This window comes from Homo sapiens, chromosome 6 (genome assembly GCF_000001405.40).
Source record: "Homo sapiens chromosome 6, GRCh38.p14 Primary Assembly".
Classification (NCBI taxonomy): domain Eukaryota; kingdom Metazoa; phylum Chordata; class Mammalia; order Primates; family Hominidae; genus Homo; species Homo sapiens.
Genome location: NC_000006.12, coordinates 63,352,779 through 63,373,229, shown reverse-complemented (window position 1 = coordinate 63,373,229; position 20,451 = coordinate 63,352,779). Strand labels below are relative to the sequence as shown.

Here is a 20,451-nt window from a genome sequence, read left to right as displayed (position 1 = left end):
TTTCTTAATTGAGCACTCTTCTAAACCATAGGAACAAAATGGCTGTGGAGGAGGTAAGGGAGGTGGTGAGTCACATGTGTTTGCAAGCTGCTTGCATTGGGAGTCAAAGGGATGTCAGCCAGCTTTACATAGTCTCAAGTAGCACCAATGGCTTTGGTTCTTTGATAGATTATTTTATGAAATGCTGTGTCACCAGTGCAGTTAATGTAACAGAGGATATTTTGTGGAAATAAATTAAAACATGAGACTGAGCCCAAAAGTTAGACTTGGATGTAAAAAATTGTAGAAAGAAATAACCAATTTATTTACCTTAATTTTTTGGTATGTGCACACAATGATGTATAATAAAAATCTACATATAATTAAGTACAAAAGAACTTTTAAAATAAGTATAAATGAATATTCTTAGTGTTAGGAAAGCCTTTTGTCATGGTTTGTTTTTTTCTTTTTTATTAGTACATTATGGCATGTTTTACAATTATGGTGTCTTAGATTCCATATGATGGAAGATTTGACATTATAGGATAAGGACTTTGCTGATATAGTCCTTACTATTTTATTCTTTGCTTTCATTTCCCTCTAAATTGTATTCTTATATTTTCTAAAAGAAAGTCAGATGAAAATAATTTACAATGTATCATCAGCATGATGAGCCCTAGTCAAAACTCTGAAGTAGAATAAATTCTTTGCTATTTAGAAAATCCCGTTGGTGGCATCTAATCATTATTTCCCCCCCTCTTACCACCCACTCCTCCACACATAGGGACACAGCTGCTCTTAGAAAAAAATTCAGATCAATTTATTTGAAGTGAGTTAGGAAAGACAGTAGCATCACTCAGTATTCTATCTCAGCATATTTGGATTTTTGTGGGTACAGAGCCCTAGGTCAGCTTGACCAAAGAAATGAAGCCTAACTGAACAGTTTCACACATCTTGGTACTTCATGGGGTATTAGTTTTAGAGAGCTGGGAAGATTTTTATTTTTGTTTTACTACATAGTCAACAGCCCGGGACTAAGCAGCCCACCTGGGGTCTTCTGGACACAGTAGCCCCAGAGGAGTCTGTTTTATTCACTGTATTTCTTTTGCATGATGAATGAAACAAGAGTAGTAGCATAAGCAGAGACTTTGTAGTCACAAAATAGCCTATTTACCTTCATGAGACAAGTACACGTAATTTCTAAAGTCAACAAACTCAAGGAAGACCCAGATTGGAAGCAATTTTGCAGACATCAGTGACAATAAGCATAGATTAGAGTAAAAGCCTTTCTCATGAAAAATGAAAAGATTTGAGAATACTGTATTTACTCTGCAAAGGGAAGATTAAGGGAAAAATGTGTTTGCTGCAGTTAAACTATGAACTGAGAATAAGCAGTTCTTTACCAAAACTACTCTGGGCCTCTATTTTTCTCCCATTATTAGCCCACACCTGAGAAATTACATTGTCTAAATCCAGGAACTTTAAAGGACCAAAAGTCATTAGTATTGGGTTATAACAATGTAAATCATTCCCTATTTGACTAATAACTCTTTATACTAAGAAAATGTGTTATTTTGACTGCTGGTTCTCATTTATAGGTAAATGTAGAAAAAAAGTTGGTGACAACTTCAGCAGCTGCAGTGAACAGAATTACGACTTCCTTTCCTTTTGGCTCTTAGGAGTTCTCCAGAGGTACAGCAGAAATATCAACACCAGATGGCTCTAACGGAGATTACATTCATTTTTTATTTATATTCCATCTATTTCTAAAAAAAGTATTTAATATAGTTCAAAATCTCAAATCATTGTCAGAGTGGAAACTTCTAATTGTTCTGAATATGTCTCCCTAGAGGAAATGCCGTTTTCAGTGGTTTACAGAGCAAATCTCTTGGTTCGGTTGTTTATAAAAGTGTTGATAGAAGTTGGTTCTTATATGACAGGGCCTTGTGACTTGAATTGCTATGGCAGGGACTGACCTTGGTCCTGATCCAAAGATTCTAGAAAATAGAAAGCATTAGAAGAGCACCCAGGATATGTTCTAGGATGTTTTTTAACTACTTAGATTTGTCTGAATAGAAACAGTTTAGTTTTCAGTAAATGCTCATTAGTAGTTTTATAACTTGCTTTGCTGAAAGGGAAAGAGATAATGATAGAGAAGAACGCTAACTAACATTTTGAGAAATTAATATATGCTAGATGCTAGACTTTCCACTCTGACAGAACCAATCTGTTTGTCTTATGTTTCTTTTTTGATGTATACGCAAAAATTGCGCATGATAAAAATCTACGTTTCACAAGCAGGGCCAGCTATGTAATTTGCAGGGCCCGGTGTGAAGTGAAAACACAGGCCTCTTGTTCAAAAAGCAGGAAAAATGCTTTTTCCTATTTCTAAAGTTTTTTTCTCTACTAGCCATAGCATTTTAAAAATTTTGTTATTTAATATTGTGCTTTCTTGGCATGGGGCTACTTGCAGGATGAGTGCAAACCCTCACAGGAACCCAGAGCCCTGCCCTGATACTTGGCAAGCAGAATGCTTACATCTGGCCCTGCCCCAATCTGTGCCCCTGCCCAGGCCTCAGCTGGGGGTGGAGGGCACCAGTGATTTCTGGGTGAGGAGAGCATCTTTGAGATCTCATCCTGGATAGATGCGTAGGCAGGACCCATGTGAGCCAAGGCTCCAAGCCTCCAGTGCCTGCTCCATGTCCCACAGGAGTTCACTTACAAAATTCAAAGTCAAAGAAAATTAAGAATTTCAAGGTAGTGGCCTCTGGGCATTAAACCCTAAACATAGGCTTACATGAGTGTGGGAATCTGCATGACCGTGTAACTGCCCTGGTTGTACAGCTCTGCTTATAAGTCCTTCTGAGTAGGTTTTGGGATTCTTATTTTATAGACGAAGAAGTTAAACTATGAGTGTTCACACCTACTAAGTCACAGAATTAGAAATTCTACCTAGGTTGATTTAGCTTCTATACCTGTACCTGGGATACCATGCCAGCACATCTTGTCAGTTACTCTGTTCTGGGATCTACCTCAGGGCTCTGACTTTGCAATGTGACTTCTTACTTGAGGGGGATGTTACCTGGCATGAATAGTTCAAAAGTCTTTACAATAAGCTGAAATTATTGCATTTCTATTATCAAAATTCTAATGTCTGTAAATCTCCATGTTGCAAATACCTGGAAGAGAAATGTGACTTTTCTTTCTTCTTCTTCTTCTCCTTCTCCTTCTTCTTCTTCTTCTTTTTTGGATACACAGTCTCACTCTGTCACCCAGGCTGGAGTGCAGTGGCCTGATCTTGGCTAACTGCAGCCTCGGCCTCCTGAGTTCAAGCAATTCTCATGCCTTAGCCTCCTGAATAGCTGGGAGGCAACAGGCATGTGCCACGCCCAGCAAATTTTTTGTATTTTAGTAGAGATGGGGTTTCACCAAGTTGCCCAGGCTAGTCTCAACTCCTGAGCTCAGGCCTCCCAAAGTGCTAGGATTATAGGCATGAGCCACCTCACCTGGCCTTATTTTTCTTAAATGCTTTGAGTACTCTATTCCTATTAAGAGAGTGTGCTTCTGGAAAGAATTCTGTAAACTCAATATATAAGTCTAACAGTTCTCTCAGTCACTTCCTAGAGAATATTCATTTTCTTATTGCATTGACTCTCCACCTACCTGCACGGGGAGCTTGAGAAACTGATAGGCCCCATGGTTCAACAATCAAAGCAGAACCTCTAGGGTGAAGACTGGGCATCAGTGCTTCCACATTTTCCCAGGTGATTCTCATTTGTAAACACAGTGGCAAACTACCACTTTGCCTGTCACACTGAATAACCTGACATGAACGACGTTATTTTACAACAGGAGCCTTTCAGTATCAGAATAAATTTCAAGTGACCTAGCATTGTTGCCACCTAATATTCAATACCTTCAGTTACACCTGCATATGAATGTGTTCAAGCCAATGTAGAAATATTTCTCCTGGTATATTTATTAGTCATAATGGACATCTATTTACACTTCAAAAAGTAGCAAGTATACATATTGCAAGTCACATGACTTAAGACTCTGCCTACAGATCATGCTGGATGGATGTTTGGTGGTATTATTGTAGGAATTCTCTGGTCAGGTGCTCCAACATTTATCTGTGTATGAAGTTAAATCATCATAAAACAGCACATTTAAACTGATGTTCCCTTCCTTGTTCAGATTTAAAGACATACCCTCAACATTTATAGAGACAAATATGAGCAGCACCAATGTGAAGGAAAGTCTCTGGATTTCCCGCAACTGTAATTGAAGGTAGTCATCATTGTGTTAAGATTTTGATGTGGCTCACCTGGAACAAGTTGATGGTTTTTGGTCAACTTCTCTTTAGCAGAAATAGAGGAATACTGATGGGGTATGTGTTTAAATATCCATTCTGTATGCAAATATGTATTTTGCAGTAACTCTGTGCCAGGCTTCCTTCTTACTCCAGAGGACATAACAGTAAACAAAACAAGATAAAAATCTTTGTCTTCATTAAGTTTACATTCTGGTAGGAGGAAACAGACAATAAACAAAATAAATGAATTTTAAAAATTAGAGGCTGATAGATGTTTTGAAGAAAAAGAATGCAGACGAGGGAAGTAAGAACACTGCAGTGGCAACATGCTGCGTGTGTGGAGTGGGGGGAGGAGCGTTAATTTTAAACGGTGTTACCGGGAAACAATTACTGAAAAGGTGACCTTTTAATAGAGGCTTGAAGGAGGGGAAGTGGTGAGCTGAGAAGGAGTCTAGAGGAGAGCAGCAAGTGCAGAGCCTGGCATTCTCTGGGAATCCCAACAGGACTGTATTTCTGGAACGGAGGGGACAAGAGTGAGAAAGTTCCCACAGACGGTTAGGTCAGGGATTTTGAATTTCTGCTGCTAAAGGTGCTGAGGGGAATTTTATAAAGCTGTAAGGAGGGTGCCGTAAGAGATTCACCATCAGAGGAGTACTTGGACCAGATAGCCTTTAAGGGTCCCCAGGAAATGCCATGATTCCTGGTTGTTGTAAGATGCACTTTAGTCTCTGAGCAGGCGTCTTTAACTTCAAAACCAGTCAGGAAAAAACAACGAAAAGTCAAATTCAAAGTTGCTCCCTCTTTTTTTTTCTTTTTTTCTGGCTTCTTTTTTTCTTTTTTATTTTTTTATACTTTAAGTTCTAGGGTACATGTGCACAATGTGCAGGTTTATTACATATGTATACATGTGCCATGTTGGTGTGCTGTACCCCTTAACTCGTCATTTACATTAGGTTTATCTCCTAATGCTATCCCTCCCCCCTTCCCCCACCCCACGACAGGCCCCAGTGTGTGATGTTACCCACCCTGTGTCCAAGTGTTCTCATTGTTCACTTCCCACCTGTGAGTGAGAACATGCAGTGTTTAGTTTTCTGTCCTTGCAATAGTTTGCTCAGAATGATGGTTTCCAGCTTCATCCATGTCCCTACAAAGGACAAGAAATCATCCTTTTTTATGGCTGCATAGTATTCCATGCTGTATATGTGCCACATTTTCTTAATCCACTCTATCATTGTTGGACATTTGGGCTGGTTCCAAGACTTTGCTATTGTGAATACTGCCTCAGTGAACATATGTGTGCATGTGTCTTTATAGCAGCATGATTTATAATCCTTTGGGTGTATACCCAGTAATGGGATGGCTGGGTCAAATGGTATTTCTAGTTCTAGATCCTTGAGGAATTGCCACACTGTCTTCCACAATGGTTGAACTAGTTTACAGTCCCACCAACAGTGTAAAAGCTTTCCTATTTCTCCACATCCTCTCCAGCACCTGTTGTTTCCTGACTTTTTAATGATTGCCATTCTAACTGGTGTGAGATGGTATCTCATTGTGGTTTTGATTTGCATTTCTCTGATGATCAGTAATGATGAGCATTTTTTCATGTGTTTGTTGGCTGCATAAATGTCTTCTTTTGGAAAGTGTCTGTTCATGTCCTTCACCCACTTTTTGATGGGGTTGTTTGATTTTTTCTTGTAAATTTGTTAAAGTTCTTTGTAGATTCTGGATATTAGCCCTTTGTCAGATGAGTAGATTGTAAAAATTTTCTCCCATTCTGTAGGTTGCCTGTTCACTCTGATGGTAGTTTCTTTTGCTGTGCAGAAGCTCTTTAGTTTAATTAGATCCTATTTGTCAATTTTGGCTTTTGTTGCCTTTGCTTTTGGTGTTTTAGACATGAAGTCCTTGCCCATGCCTATGTCCTGAATGGTAATGCCTAGGTTTTCTTCTAGGGTTTTTATGGTTTTAGGTCTAACATTTAAGTCTTTAATCCATCTTGAATTAATTTTTGTATAAGGTGTAAGGAAGGGATCCAGTTTCAGCTTTCTACATATGGCTAGCCAGTTCTCCCAGCACCATTTATTAAATAGGGAATCCTTTCCCCATTGCTTGTTTTCGTCAGGTTTGTCAAAGATCAGATGGTTTTAGATGTGTGGTATTATTTCCAAGGGCTCTATTCTGTTCCATTGGTCTATATCTATGTTTTGCTACCAGTACCATGCTGTTTTGGTTACTGTAGCCTTGTAGTATAGTTTGAAGTCAGGTAGCATGATGCCTCCAGCTTTGTTCTTTTGGTTTAGGATTGTCTTGGCAATGCGGGCTCTTTTTTGGTTCCATATGAACTTTAAAGTAGTTTTTTCAAATTCTGTGAAGAAAGTCATTGGTAGCTTGATGGGGATGGCATTGAAACTATAAATTATCTTGGGCAGTATGGCCATTTTCATGATACAGATTCTTCCTATCCATGAGCACGGAATGTTCTTCCATTTGTTTCTGTCCTCTTTTATTTCGTTGAGCAGTGGTTTGTAGTTCTCCTTGAAGAGGTCCTTCACATCCCTTGTAAGTTGAATTCCTAGGTATTTTATTCTCTTTGAAGCAATTGTGAGTGGGAGTTCACTCTTGATTTGGCTCTCTGTTTGTCTGTTATTGGTGTATAAGAATGCTTGTGATTTTGGCACATTGATTTTGTATGCTGAGACTTTGCTGAAGTTGCTTATCAGCTTAAGGAGATTTTAGGCTGAGACGATGGGGTTTTCTAAATATACAATCATGTCACCTGCAAACAGGGACAATTTGACTTCCTCTTTTCCTTATTGAATACCCTTTCTTTCTTTCTCCTGCCTGAGTGCCCTGTCCAGAACTTCCAACACTATGTTGAATAGGAGTGGTGAGAGAGGGCATCCCTGTCTTGTGCCAGTTTTCAAAGGGAATGCTTCCAGTTTTTGTCCATTCAGTATGATATTGGCTGTGGGTTTGTCATAAATAGCTCTTATTATTTTGAGATACATCCCATCAATACTTAGTTTATTGAGAGTTTTTAGCATGAAGCTCTGTTGAATTTTGTCAAAAGACTTTTCTGCAGCTATTGAGATAATCATGTATTTTTTTTCCTTTGGTTCTGTTTATATGATGAATTACATTTATTGATTTGCATATGTTGAACCAGCCTTGCATCCCAGGGATGAAGCCAACTTAATTGTGGTGGATAAGCTTTTTGATGTGCTGCTGGATTCAGTTTGCTAGTATTTTATTGAGGATTTTTGCATTGATGTTCATCAGGAATATTGGTCTAAAATTCTCTTTTTTTGTTGTGTCTCTGCCAGACTTTGGTATCAGGATGATGCTGGCCTCATAAAATGAATTAGGGAGGATTCCATCTTTTTCTATTGATTGGAATAGTTTCAGAAGGAATGGTACCAACTCCTCTTTGTACCTCTGGTAGAATTCGTCTGTGAATCCATCTGGTCCTGGACTTTTTTTGGTTGGTAGGCTATTAATTACTGCCTCAATTTCAGAACCTGTTATTGGTCTATTTAGGGATTCAACTTCTTCCTGGATTAGTCTTGGTAGGGTGTGTGTATCCAGGAATTTATCCATTTCTTCTAGATTTTCTAGTTTATTTGCGTGGAGGTGTTTATAGTATTCTCTGATGGTAGTATGTATTTCTGTGGGATCGATGGTGATATCCCCTTTCTCACATTTTATTGTGTCTATTTGATTCTTCTCTCTTTTCTTCTTTATTAGTCTTGCTAGTGGTCTGTCAATTTTGTTGATTTTTTCAAAAAAACCAGCTCCTGGATTCATTGATTTTTTGAAGGGTTTTTTACATCTCTATCTTCTTCAGTTCTGCTCTGATCTTAGTTATTTCTTGTCTTCTGCTAGCTTTTGAATGTGTTTGCTCTTGCTTCTCTAGTTCTTTTAATTGTGATGTTAGGGTGTCAGTTTTAGATCTTTCCTGCTTTCTCTTGTGGGCATTTAGTGCTATAAATTTCCCTCTACACACTGCTTTGAATGTGTCCCAGATATTCTGATATGTTGTGTCTTTGTTCTCATTGGTTCAAAGAACATCTTTATTTCTGCCTTCATTTTGTTATGTACCCAGTAGTCATTCAGGAGGAGGTTGTTCAGTTTCCATGTAGTTGAGCAGTTTTGAATGAGTTTTTTAATCCTGAGTTCTAGTTTGATTGCACTGTGGTCTGAGAGACAGTTTTTTGTAATTTCTGTTCTTTTACATTTGCTGAGGAGTGCTTTACTTCCAACTATGCGGCCAATTTTGGAATAAGTGTGAGCTGGTTCTGAGAAGAATGTATATTCTGTTGATTTGGCGTGGAGAGTTATGTAGATGTCTATTAGGTTTGCTTGGTGCAGAGCTGAGTTCAATTCCTGGATATCCTTGTTAACTTTCTGTCTTGTTGATCTCTCTAATGTTGACAGTGGGGTGTTAAAGTCTCCCATTATTATTGTGTGGGAGTCTAAGTCTCTTTGTAGGTCTCTAAGGACCTGCTTTATGAATCTGGTTGCTCCTGTATTGGGCGCATATATATTTAGGATAGTTAGCTCTTCTTGTTGAATTGATTCCTTTACCATTATGTAATGGCCTCCTTTGTCTCTTTTGATCTTTGTTGGTTTACAGTCTGTTTTATCAGAGACTGGGATTGCAACCCGTTTTTTTTTTGTTTGTTTGTTTTCCGTTTGCTTGGTAGATCTTCCTCCATCCCTTTATTTTGAGCGTATGTGTGTCTCTGCATGTGAGATGGGTCTCCTGAATACAGCACACTGATGGGTCTTGACTCTTTATCCAATTTACCAATCTGTGTCTTTTAATTAGAGCATTTAGCCCATTTACATTTAAGGTTAATATTGTTATGTGTGAATTTGATCCTGTCATTATGATGTTAGCTGGTTATTTTGCTCATTAGTTGATGCAGTTTCTTCCTAGCATCGATGGTCTTTACAATTGGCATGTTTTTGCAGTGGCTGGTACCAGTTTTTCCCTTTCATTTGATTTTCATTTTTTCCTTCATTTCAAGTTTGTTGAATCTGACAATTGTGTCTTGGAGTTGCTCTTCTGGAGGAGTATCTTTGTGGCATTCTCTGTATTTCCTGAATTTGAATTTGGCCTGCTTTGCTAGGTTGGGGAAGTTTTCCTGGATAATACCCTGAAGAGTGTTTTCCAACTTGGTTCCATTCTCCCCATCACTTTCAGGTACACCAATCCGATGTAAATTTGGTCTTTTCACATAGTCCCATATTTCTTGGAGGCTTTGTTTGTTTCTTTATATTCTTTTTTCTCTAAAATTCTCTTCTTGCTTCATTTCATTCATTTGATCTTCAATCACTGATACCCTTTCTTCCACTTGATCAAATCAGCTACTGAAGCTTGTGCATGTATCACATAGTTCTCATGCCATGGTTTTCAGCTCCATCAGGTCATTTAAGGACTTCTCTACACCGTTTATTCTAGTTGGCCATTCATCTAATCTTTTTTCAAGGTTTTTATCTTCTTTGCGATGGGTTGGAACATCCTCCTTTAGCTTGGAGAAGTTTGTTATTATCGATCGTCTGAATCCTTCTCTCAACTCGTCAAAGTCATTCTCTGTCCAGCTTTGTTCTGTTGCTGGTGAGGAGTTGTGTTCCTTTGGAGGAGAAGAGGCACTCTGATTTTCAGAATTTTCAGCATTTCTGCTCTGGTTTCTCTCCATCTTTGTGGTTTTATCTAACTTTGGTCTTTGATGATGGTGACATACAGATGGGGTTTTGGTGTAGATGTCCTTTATGTTTGTTAGTTTTCCTTCTAACAGTGAGAACACTCAGCTGCAGGTCTGTTGGAGTTTGCTGGAGGTCCACTCCAGACCCTGTTTGCCTGGGTATCACTATCAGAGGCTGCAGAAGAGCAAATATTGCAGAACGGCAAATATTGCTGCCTGATCCTTCCTCTGGAAGCTTCGTCTCAGAGGGGCACCTGGCTTTATGAGGTGTCAGTCGGCCCCTACTGGGAGGTGTCTCCCAGTTAGGCTACTCGGGTCAGGGACCCACTTGAGGAGGCAGTCTGTCCGTTTTCAGATCTCAAACTCTGTGCTGGGAGAACCACTACTCTCTTCAGACCTGTCAGACAGGGATGTTTAAGTTTGCAGAATTTTCTGCTGCCTTTTGTTCAGCTATGCCCTGCCCCCAGAGGTGGAGTCTACAGAGGCAGGCAGGCCTCCTTGAACTGCGGTGGGCTCCACCCAGTTCGACCTTCCCGGCTGCTTTGTTTACCTACTCAAGCCTCAGCAATGGTGGATACCCCTCCCCCAGCCTCACTGCTGCCTTGCAGTTTGATCTCAGACTGCTGTGCTAGCAGTGAGTGAGGCTCTGTGGGTGTGAGACCCTCTGAGCCAGGCGGGGGATATAATCTCCTGGTGTGCCGTTTGCTAAGACCATTGGAAAAGCACAGTTATTAGGGTGGGAGTGTGCCAATTTTCCAGGTACCATCTGTCATGGCTTCCCTTGGCTACGAAAGGGAATTCCCCGACCCCTTGCACTTCTGGAGTGAGGCGATGCCCCGCCCTGCTCTGTGGGCTGCACCCACTGTCTGACAAGCCCCAGTGAGATGAACCTGGTACCTCAGTTGGAAATGCAGAAATCACCCGTCTTCTGTGTTGCTCACACTGGGAGCTGCAGACTGAAGATGTTCCTAGTTGGCGATCTTGGCATCTCCTCTTACTGGTTTCTGTATTAACTTTTAATTGTGATTTTAGAGTATACTCCTTCTACTTATATATATTTAAAAAGTTAACTGTAAAACAACCTCAGGCAGGTCCTTCAGGGAATGTTCCAGAAGAAGGTATTGTTATCATAAGTGATGACAGCCCCGTGCATGTTACTGCCTCTGAAGAACTTCCAGTGGGACAAGATCAAGTTGCTCCCTCTTGAAATGAAAACTCTGTCAACACAAATAGTTTTACGTTTTGTGTCCATTGCTATGTTTCAGGAGCTACAAGTGTGCCTGACATACAATACCTGCAAAATGAATATTTATTGTTTAAATAATGATCATTGAAGTTGACAGGTAATCAACCTCCCCTTCATTCTTGCTAACAAGAAGTTCACTGAAAATCATCCAGTTGTTCAAAGTTAAAAATCTAGGGTTGTAGGGGTGGAGCCAAGATGGTCGAATAGGAACAGCTCCAGCCCACAGCTCCCAGCCTGAGCGACGAAGGAGTTGAATGATTTCTGCATTTCCAACTGAGGTACCGGTTGCATCTCACTGGGGATTGTCGGAAAGTTGGTGCAGGACAGTGGGTGCAGTGCACCGAGCCTGAGCTGAAGCAGGGTGAGGCATTGCCTCACCCAGGAAGCTCAAGGGGTCAGGGAATTCCCTTTCCTAGCCAAGGAAAGGTGTGACAGACGGCACCTGGAAAATCGGGTCACTTCCACCCTAATACTGCGCTTTTCCGATGGTCTTAGCAAATGGCACACCAGGAGATTATATCCTGCGCATGACTCGGAGGGTCCTACACCCACGGAGCCTTGCTCATCACCAACACAGCAGTCTGAGATCAAACTGCAAGGTGGCAGTGAGGCTGAGGGAGGGGTGCCCACCATTGCCGAGGCTTGAGTAGGTAAACAAAGCAGCCAGGAAGCTCAAACTGGGTGGAGCCCACTGCAGCTCAAGGAGGACTGCCTGCATCTGTAGACTCCACCTCAGGGGGCAGGGCATAACCAAACAAAAGGCAGCAGAAACCTCTGCAGACTTATTTGTCCCTGTCTGACAGCTTTGAAGAGAGTAGTGGTTCTCCCAGCATGCAGCTTGAGATCTGAGAATGGACAGACTGCCTTCTCAAGTGGGTCCCTGACCCTCGAGTAGCCTAACTGGGAGGCACCCCCCAGTAGGGGAGGACTGACACCTCACATGGCTGGGTACTCCTCTGAGACAAAACTTCCAGAGGAACGATCAGGCAGCAACATTTGCTGTTCACCAATATCCGCTGTTCTGCAGCCTCCGCTGCTGATACCCAGGCAAACAGGGTCTGGAGTGGACCTCTGGCAAACTCCAACAGATCTGCAGCTGAGGGTGCTGACTGTTAGAAGGAAAATTAACAAACAGAAAGGACATCCACACCAAAACCCCATCTGTACATCACCATCATCGAAGACCAAAGGTAGATAAAACCACAAAGATGGGGAAAAAAACAGAGCAGAAAAACTGAAAATTCTAAAAATCAGAGTGCCTCTCCTCCTCCAAAGGAACACGGCTCCTCACCAGCAATAGAACAAAGCTGGACGGAGAATGACTTTGATGAGTTGAGAGAAGAAGGCTTCAGACTATCAAACTACTCTGAGCTAAAGGAGGAAGTTCGAACCCATGGCAAAGAAGTTAAAAACCTTAAGATTAGATGAATGGCTAACTAGAATAACCAATGCAGAGAAGTCCTTAAAAGACCTGATGGAGCTGAAAACCATGACACGAGAACTATGTGATGAATGCACAAGCCTCAGTAGCCGATTCGATCAACTGGAAGAAAGGGTATCAGGATGGAAGATCAAATGAATGAAATGAAGCGAGAAGAGAAGTTTAGAGAAAAAAGAATAAAAAGAAACAAACAAAGCCTCCAAGAAATATGAGACTACATGAAAAGTCCAAATCTACGTCTGATTGGTGTACCTGAAAGTGACAGGGAGAATGGAACCAAGTTGAAAAACACTGCAGGTTATTATCCAGGAGAACTGTCCCAATCTAGCAAGGCAGGCCAACATTCAAATTCAGGAAATGCAGAGAATGCCACAAAGATACTCCTCAAGAAGAGCAACTCCAAGACACATAATCGTCAGATTCACCAAAGTTGAAATGAAGGAAAAAATGTTAAGAGCACCCAGAGAGAAAGGTCGGGTTACTCACAAAGGGAAGCCCGTCAGACTAACAGCTGATCTCTTGGCAGAAACTCTACAATCCAGAAGAGAGTGGGGGCCAATATTCAACATTCTTAAAGAAAATAATTTTCAACCCAGAATTTCATATCCAGCTAAAGTAAGCTTCATAAGTGAAGGAGAAATAAAATACTTTACAGACGAGCAAATGCTGAGAGATTTTGTCACCACCAGGCCAGATCAGAGCAGAACTGAAGGAAATAGAGACACAAAAAGCCCTTCAAAAAATCAATGAATCCAGGAACTGGGTTTTTGAAAAGATCAACAAAATTGATAGACCACCAGCAAGACTAATAAAGAAGAAAAGAGAGAAGAATCAAATAGATGCAATAAAAAATGATAGAGGGGATATCACCATCGATCCCACAGAAATACAAACTACCATCAGAGAATACTATAAACACCTCTATGCAAATAAACTAGAAAATCTGGAAGAAAGGGATAAATTCCTCAACACATACACTCTCCCAAGACTAAACCAGGAAGAAGTTGAATCTCTGAATAGACCGATAACAGGCTCTGAAATTGAGGCAATAATTAATAGCTTACCAACCAAAAAAAGTCCAGGACCAGATGGATTCACAGATGCATTCTACCAGAGGTACAAGGAGGACCTGGTACCATTCCTTCTGAAACTTTTCCAATCAATAGAAAAAGACAGAATCCTCTCTAACTCATTTTATGAGGCCAGCATCTTCCTGATACCAAAGCTGGGCAGAGACACAACAAAAAAAGAGAATTTTAGACCAATATTCCTGATGAACATCGGTGCAAAAATTCTCAATAAAATACTAGCAAACCGAATCCAGCAGCACATCAAAAAGCTTATCCACCATGATCAAGTGGGCTTCATCCCTGGGATGCAAGGCTGGTTCAACATATGCAAATCAATAAATGTAATCCAGCATATAAACAGAACCAACGACAAAAACCACATGATTATCTCAATAGATGCAGAAAAGGCCTTTGACAAAATTCAACAGCGCTTCATGCTAAAAACTCACAATAAATTAGGTTTTGATGGGACATATCTCAAAATAATAACAGCTATTTATGACAAACCCACAGCCAATATCATACTGAATGGACAAAAACTGGAAGCATTCCCTTTGAAAACTGGCACAAGACGGGAATGTCCTCTCTCACTACTCCTATTCAACATAGTGTTGGAAGTTCTGGACAGGGCACTCAGGCAGGAGAAAAAAATAAAGGGTATTCAATAAGGAAAAGAGGAAGTCAAATTGTCCCTGTTTGCAGGTGACATAATTGTATATTTAGAAAACCCCATTGTCTCAGCCCAAAATCTCCTTAAGCTGATAAGCAACTTCAGCAAAGTCTCAGCATACAAAATCAATGTACAAAAATCACAAGCATTCTTATACACCAATAACAGACAAACAGAAAGCCAAATCATGAGTGAACTCCCATTCACAATTGCTTCAAAGAGAATAAAATACCTAGGAATCCAACTTACAAGGGATGTGAAGGACCTCTTCAAGGAGAACTACAAACCACTGCTCAATGACATAAAAGAGGATACAAACAAATGGAAGAACATTCCATGCTCATGGGTAGGAAGAATCAATATTGTGAAAATGGCCATACTGCCCAAGGTAATTTATAGATTCAATGCCATCCCCATCAAGCTACCAATGACTTTCTTCACAGAATTGGAAAAACTACTTTAAAGTTCATATGGAACCAAAAAAGAGCCCACATTGCCAAGACAATCCTAAGCCAAAAGAACAAAGCTGGAGGCATCATGCTACCTGACTTCAAACTATACTACAAGGCTACAGTAACCAAAACAGCATGGTACTGGTAGCAAAACATAGATATGGACCAATGGAACAGAACAGAGCCCTCAGAAATAATGCCACATATCTACAACTATCTGATCTTTGACGAACCTGACAAAAACAAGCAATGGGGAAAGGATTCCCTATTTAATAAATGGTGCTGGGAGAACTGGCTAGCCATATGTAGAAAGCTGAAACTGGATCCCTTCCTTACACCTTATACAAAAATTAATTCAAGATGGATTAAAGACTTAAATGTTAGACCTAAAACCATAAAAACCCTAGAAGAAAACCTAGGCATTACCATTCAGGACATAGGCATGGGCAAGGACTTCATGTCTAAAACACCAAAAGCAATGGCAACAAAAGCCAAAATTAACAAATGGGATCTAATTAAACTAAAGAGCTTCTGCACAGCAAAAGAAACTACCATCAGAGTGAACAGGCAACCTACAGTATGGGAGAAAATTTTCGCAACCTACTTATCTGACAAAGGGCTAATATCCAGAATCTACAATGAACTCAAACAAATTTACAAGAAAAAAACAAACAACCCCATCAACAAGTGGGCAAAGGATATGAATAGACACTTCTCAAAAGAAGACATTTATGCAGCCAAAAGACACATGAAAAAATGTTCATCATCAGTGGCCATCAGAGAAATGCAAATAAAAACCACAATGAGATACCATCTCACACTAGTTAGAATGGCGATCATTAAAAAGTCAGGAAACAACAGGTGCTGGAGAGGATGTGGAGAAATAGGAACACTTTACACTGTTGGTGGGACTGTAAACTACTTCGAACATTGTGGAAGTCAGTGTGGCAATTCTTCAGGGATCTAGAACTAGAAATACCATTTGACCCAGCCATCCCATTACTGGGTATACACCCAAAGGATTATAAATCATGCTGCTATAAAGACACATGCACACATATGTTCACTGAGGCAGTATTCACAATAGCAAAGTCTTGGAACCAGCCCAAATGTCCAACAATGATAGAGTGGATTAAGAAAATGTGGCACATATACACCATGGAATACTATGCAGCCATAAAAAAATGATGAGTTCATGTCCTTTGCAGGGATATGGATGAAGCTGGAAACCAGCATTCTCAGCAAACTATCGCAAGGACAAAAAACCAAACACCGCATGTTCTCACTCATAGGTGGGAATTGAACAATGAGAACACATGGACACGGGAAGGGGAACATCACACACCGGGGCCTGTTGTGGGGTGGGGGGAGGGGGGAGGGATGGCATTAGGAGATATAACTAATGTTAAATGACGAGTTAATGGGTGCAGCATACCAACATGGCACATGTATATATATGTAACAAACCTGCACGTTGTGTACATGTACCCTAAAACTTAAAGTATAAAAAAAAATTGGGGGTTGTGATTTTAACTTACATTTCTTTGTAACCATAAAGATGCTTTAAAGATTGGAAGACAATTGGTCATGTTGCAGTTTTGGCACTTAACATCCTATATTTTCAGGAGAAGATATCTCTTCTCCTAGGTATATGCATGGCACAATTCCTCAGTGTCTGTTCACATCTTACCTTCTCTATCCAAATGTCACATCTTTGACTACCTTACCTAAACATGCCTCATCTCTTGACTGTTACTTTTATTTCTTTTACTCTGCTTTATTTTTATTTTTCTTATTTTTTAACTTTTTGAGACAGAGTTTTGCTCTTGTCGCCCAGGGTGGAGTGCAGTGGCATGATATCAGCTCACTGCAACCTCTGCCTCTCAGGTTCAAGCGATTCTCCCACCTCAGCCTCCCGAGTAGCTGGGATCACAGGCACGAGCCACCACACCCAGCTAATTTTTGTATTTTTTTAGTAGAGATGGGGTTTCATCATGTTGTTCAGGCTGGTCTCGAACTCCTGACTTCACGTGATCTTCCTGCCTTAGCCTCCCAAAGTGCTGGGATTATAGGCATGAGCCACTGTGCCTGGCCTGCTTTATTATTATTTTTTTAAATGTGGACTATGAGTTGAATTGTTTTTCCCCAAAACGATAACTTGAAGTCCTAACCTTCAGGATCTCAGAATGTGATCTTATTTTTAAATACAGTGTTTGCAGATGTAGTCAAGATGAGATTATTAGGGTGGGCCCTAGTGCAATATAACCGGTGTCCTTATAAAAAGGGGAAATTTGGACATATATATATAGATGTGCGTAGAAGGAAGAATATGTGAACAGATACAGGAATAACACCATGTGAAGACAGAGTACTGGCGAGGTCCAGTGGCTCACGCCTGTAATACCAGCACATTGGAAGGTCAAGGTGGGTGGGTCACCTGAGGTCAGGAGTTCACAACCAGCATGAGTAACATGGTGAAACCCCGTCTCCACTAAATACAAAAAATATTAGCCAGGCATGGTGGCACATGTTGTAATCCAAGCTACTTGGAAGGCTGAGACAGGAGAATTGCTTGTACCTGGGAGGCAGAGGTTGTGGTGAGCCAAGATTGCACCATTGCACAACAGCCTGTGCATCAAGAGTGAAACTCCGTCTCAAAACAAAACAAAAAGACAGAGTACTGGAGTGATGCATCTACAAGCCAAGGAATGCCAAAGATTGCCAGCAAACGACTAGAAGCGAGAGAAAGGCCAGGAAAGATTTTCCTCCAGGTTTCAGAGACAGCATGGCTCTGTGGACACTTTGATTGAACTTCCAGCCATAAGAATTAATGACACAATAAATTTCTGTTGTTTTAAGTTACCCAGTTTACAGTACTTGGTTATGGCAGCCCAAAGAAATGAATACACCACCTGGCATAGGATGTACTCTTTTTGTTGTTCAATTTCTGCCTGCCTCTACTAGACTAATTACCATGAGGAAAGAGACAAAGTACATTTTCTTCACTTTTGTGCCCCAAGTACTTAGAACAGTGCCCAGCACTCAATACATATTTGCCAAGAGAATGTAGGGATATTTTATTTTTCATTTTTTTTTAAATTGATACATAATATTTGTATGTATTTGTAGGGTACATGTGATATTTTGTTATATGCATAGAATGTGTAACCATCAAGTCAGGGTATTTAGGATACACATCACCTTTTCCATTTATCATTTTTATGTGTTGGGAACATTTCAAGTCCTCTGTGTAGCTATTTTGAACTATACAATACATTGTTGTTTACTGTAGTCACCCTTCTTTGCTATGGAACTTTAGAAACTATTCTTTCTTTTTCCTCCCCTACACCCACACCCACACCCATACCCTTCCTAGTCGTTAGTAATTGTCATTTTACTCTGTACATCCAAGAGATCAACTTTTTTTTTTTCTCCCATATATGAGTGAGAACATGCAATATTTGTTTTTCTGGGTCTGGATTATTTCACTTAACATAATGATCTCCACTTCCATCAATGTTGCTGCAAATGGTATTATCTCATTCTTTTTTATGGCTAAATAGTATTCCATTGTGTATATGTATCATATTTTCTTTAATCATCTGTTGATGAACACAGGTTGATTCTCTGTCTTTGCTGTTGTGAATAGTGCTGGAATAAATATGTGAGCGCAGATGTCTCTTCAACATACTGATTCCTTTCCTTTGGATAATTGCCCAGTAGTGATAGATCATATGGTATTTCTATTTTTAGTTTTTTTGAGAAATCGCCATACTGCTTCCATAGTGGCTGTACTAATTTACATTCCCATCAACAGTGTACAAGAGTTACCTTTTCTTTGCATCCTCACCAGCATCTGTTATATTTTTGTCTTTTTAATAATAACTATTCTAACTGGGGTAAGATGGTATCTCATTTTGGTTTTAATTTACATTTCCCTGATGATTAGTGACGTTGAACATTTTTTCATGTATTTGCTGGCCATTTGTGTGTCTTCGTCCAAGAAATGTTATTCAGACCTCTTGCCCACTTTTTAAAGGGATTATTTATTTATTTTTTTTGCTGTTTGAGTTCCTTATGTATTTTGGATATCAGTCCCTTGTCAGACAAGCAGTTTGCAAATATTTTCTCCCATTCAGCAGGCTGTGTTTTCATGATATTGATGGTTTTCTTTGTTGTGCAGAAGCTTTTTAGTTTAATATGGTACCATTGTCTATTTTTATTTTTGTTACCTGTACTTTTGAGGTCTTAGCCATAAAGTCTTTGCCTAGACCAATGCCCTAAAGTGTTTTCTCTAGGTTTTTTCCCTAGTAGTTTTATAGTTTGAGGTCTCATGTTTAAGTCTAATCCGTTTTGAGTTGATTTTTATATGTAGTGAGAGATAGGGGTCTAGTTTCATTCTTCTGTGTATAAATATCCAGTATTCTTAGCACCATTTATTGAAGACGGTGTCCCTTTTCCCAATGTATATTCTTGGCAACTTTATAAAAAAAATCAGTTGCCTTATATGTAGACTTATTTCCAGGTTCTCTATTCTGTTTCATTGGTCTATGTGTCAGTTTTTGTATCACTGTAATGATGCTTTGGTTACTATAACCTTGTAATATATTTTGAAGTCAGGTGGTGTGATGTCTGCAGCTTTGTTCTTTTTGCTGAGGACTGCTTTGGCTACTCAGGCTCTTTTTTGGTTTCATGCAAATTTTGAGATTGTTTTTTCAATTTCTGTGAAAAACATTATTTTTTCTTTTTTTTTTTTTTTTTTTGCTACAAACTGCTTCTTTCTAAAAGAGAAATCTAAGTCCAGGTATTAATGAAGTAGGAAAAATTTCAATAATTATAAGAGTATAGTAGAAAACTTCACCTTACGTTCTGTTATGGTTCCCTACAAAATACTCTGTGATAGAAGCTATTTCTCTGGTAGGGAGAGTCTTAAACATCTGTGAGCATATCCAGGAAGGCACTGTTGCCAGGGATGGGAACATTTTCTGCACAGGAGACCCTGTTAGGTACTAAGGATCAGGTTTTCCTGTGTGTCTCAGGATGTTGCCTATTGCCTCTTGCCTGTTGGGTCTGCAACAGAAATCTGCAATTTCTGGCCAGACTGCTCAATTTCCTTCCCCTTTGGTGTTACTGACCTCTGCTGTTAAAAAGCAGCGCCTCTGCTTGCCTCTAAAGCTACTCTCTGGTTTCCAACCATTAAAACATTCAATAACCAATCTCATCATTCTGGAAAACAAATATCCTGGAGCTCAAAGGCTACAGAGACTTTTCCAATTATTTCCTAAAATGGCTTTTTAGATTTGAAAGTTCTTCTGTGAGAACCAGGGTCACGTGTCTGTCTTCAGCGTTACAGAGAAAGACAGATGGAGGTTGTTGCGCTCACAAGAGAAAAGGAAACTTAAGGCAGCTTCCCCTTTTCTTGACCACCGGATGTGTCTTCTGCAACTTCTGTGAACTCCAGTAATTGAGGTCATATTGTGGCATTAAAAAAAAATCCAGCTGTTTGCATGGTTCCCTTAATCCTTACTCTTATCTAATTCAACCACCTAATCTGGCCAAGAAATGTGAGGGGA

At 39.9% G+C, this 20,451-nt stretch overlaps 1 protein-coding gene across 3 annotated transcripts in view, besides 2 other annotated features; it reads left to right on the top strand.

Annotated features, from left to right (window-relative positions):
• LGSN (lengsin, lens protein with glutamine synthetase domain) overlaps positions 1–20,451 on the top strand; it is a 297,657-nt gene that overhangs the window by 200,378 nt on the left and 76,828 nt on the right. The gene's annotated exons all lie outside the window — the stretch shown is intronic.
• Positions 19,988–20,077: an enhancer, noted in NCBI's record as "active region_24714". NCBI's record gives its function as "activates an Ori minimal core promoter by ATAC-STARR-seq in GM12878 lymphoblastoid cells {active_cell/tissue: GM12878}" and the evidence as "EXISTENCE:reporter gene assay evidence [ECO:0000049][PMID:35858748]".
• Positions 20,178–20,447: an enhancer, noted in NCBI's record as "active region_24713". NCBI's record gives its function as "activates an Ori minimal core promoter by ATAC-STARR-seq in GM12878 lymphoblastoid cells {active_cell/tissue: GM12878}" and the evidence as "EXISTENCE:reporter gene assay evidence [ECO:0000049][PMID:35858748]".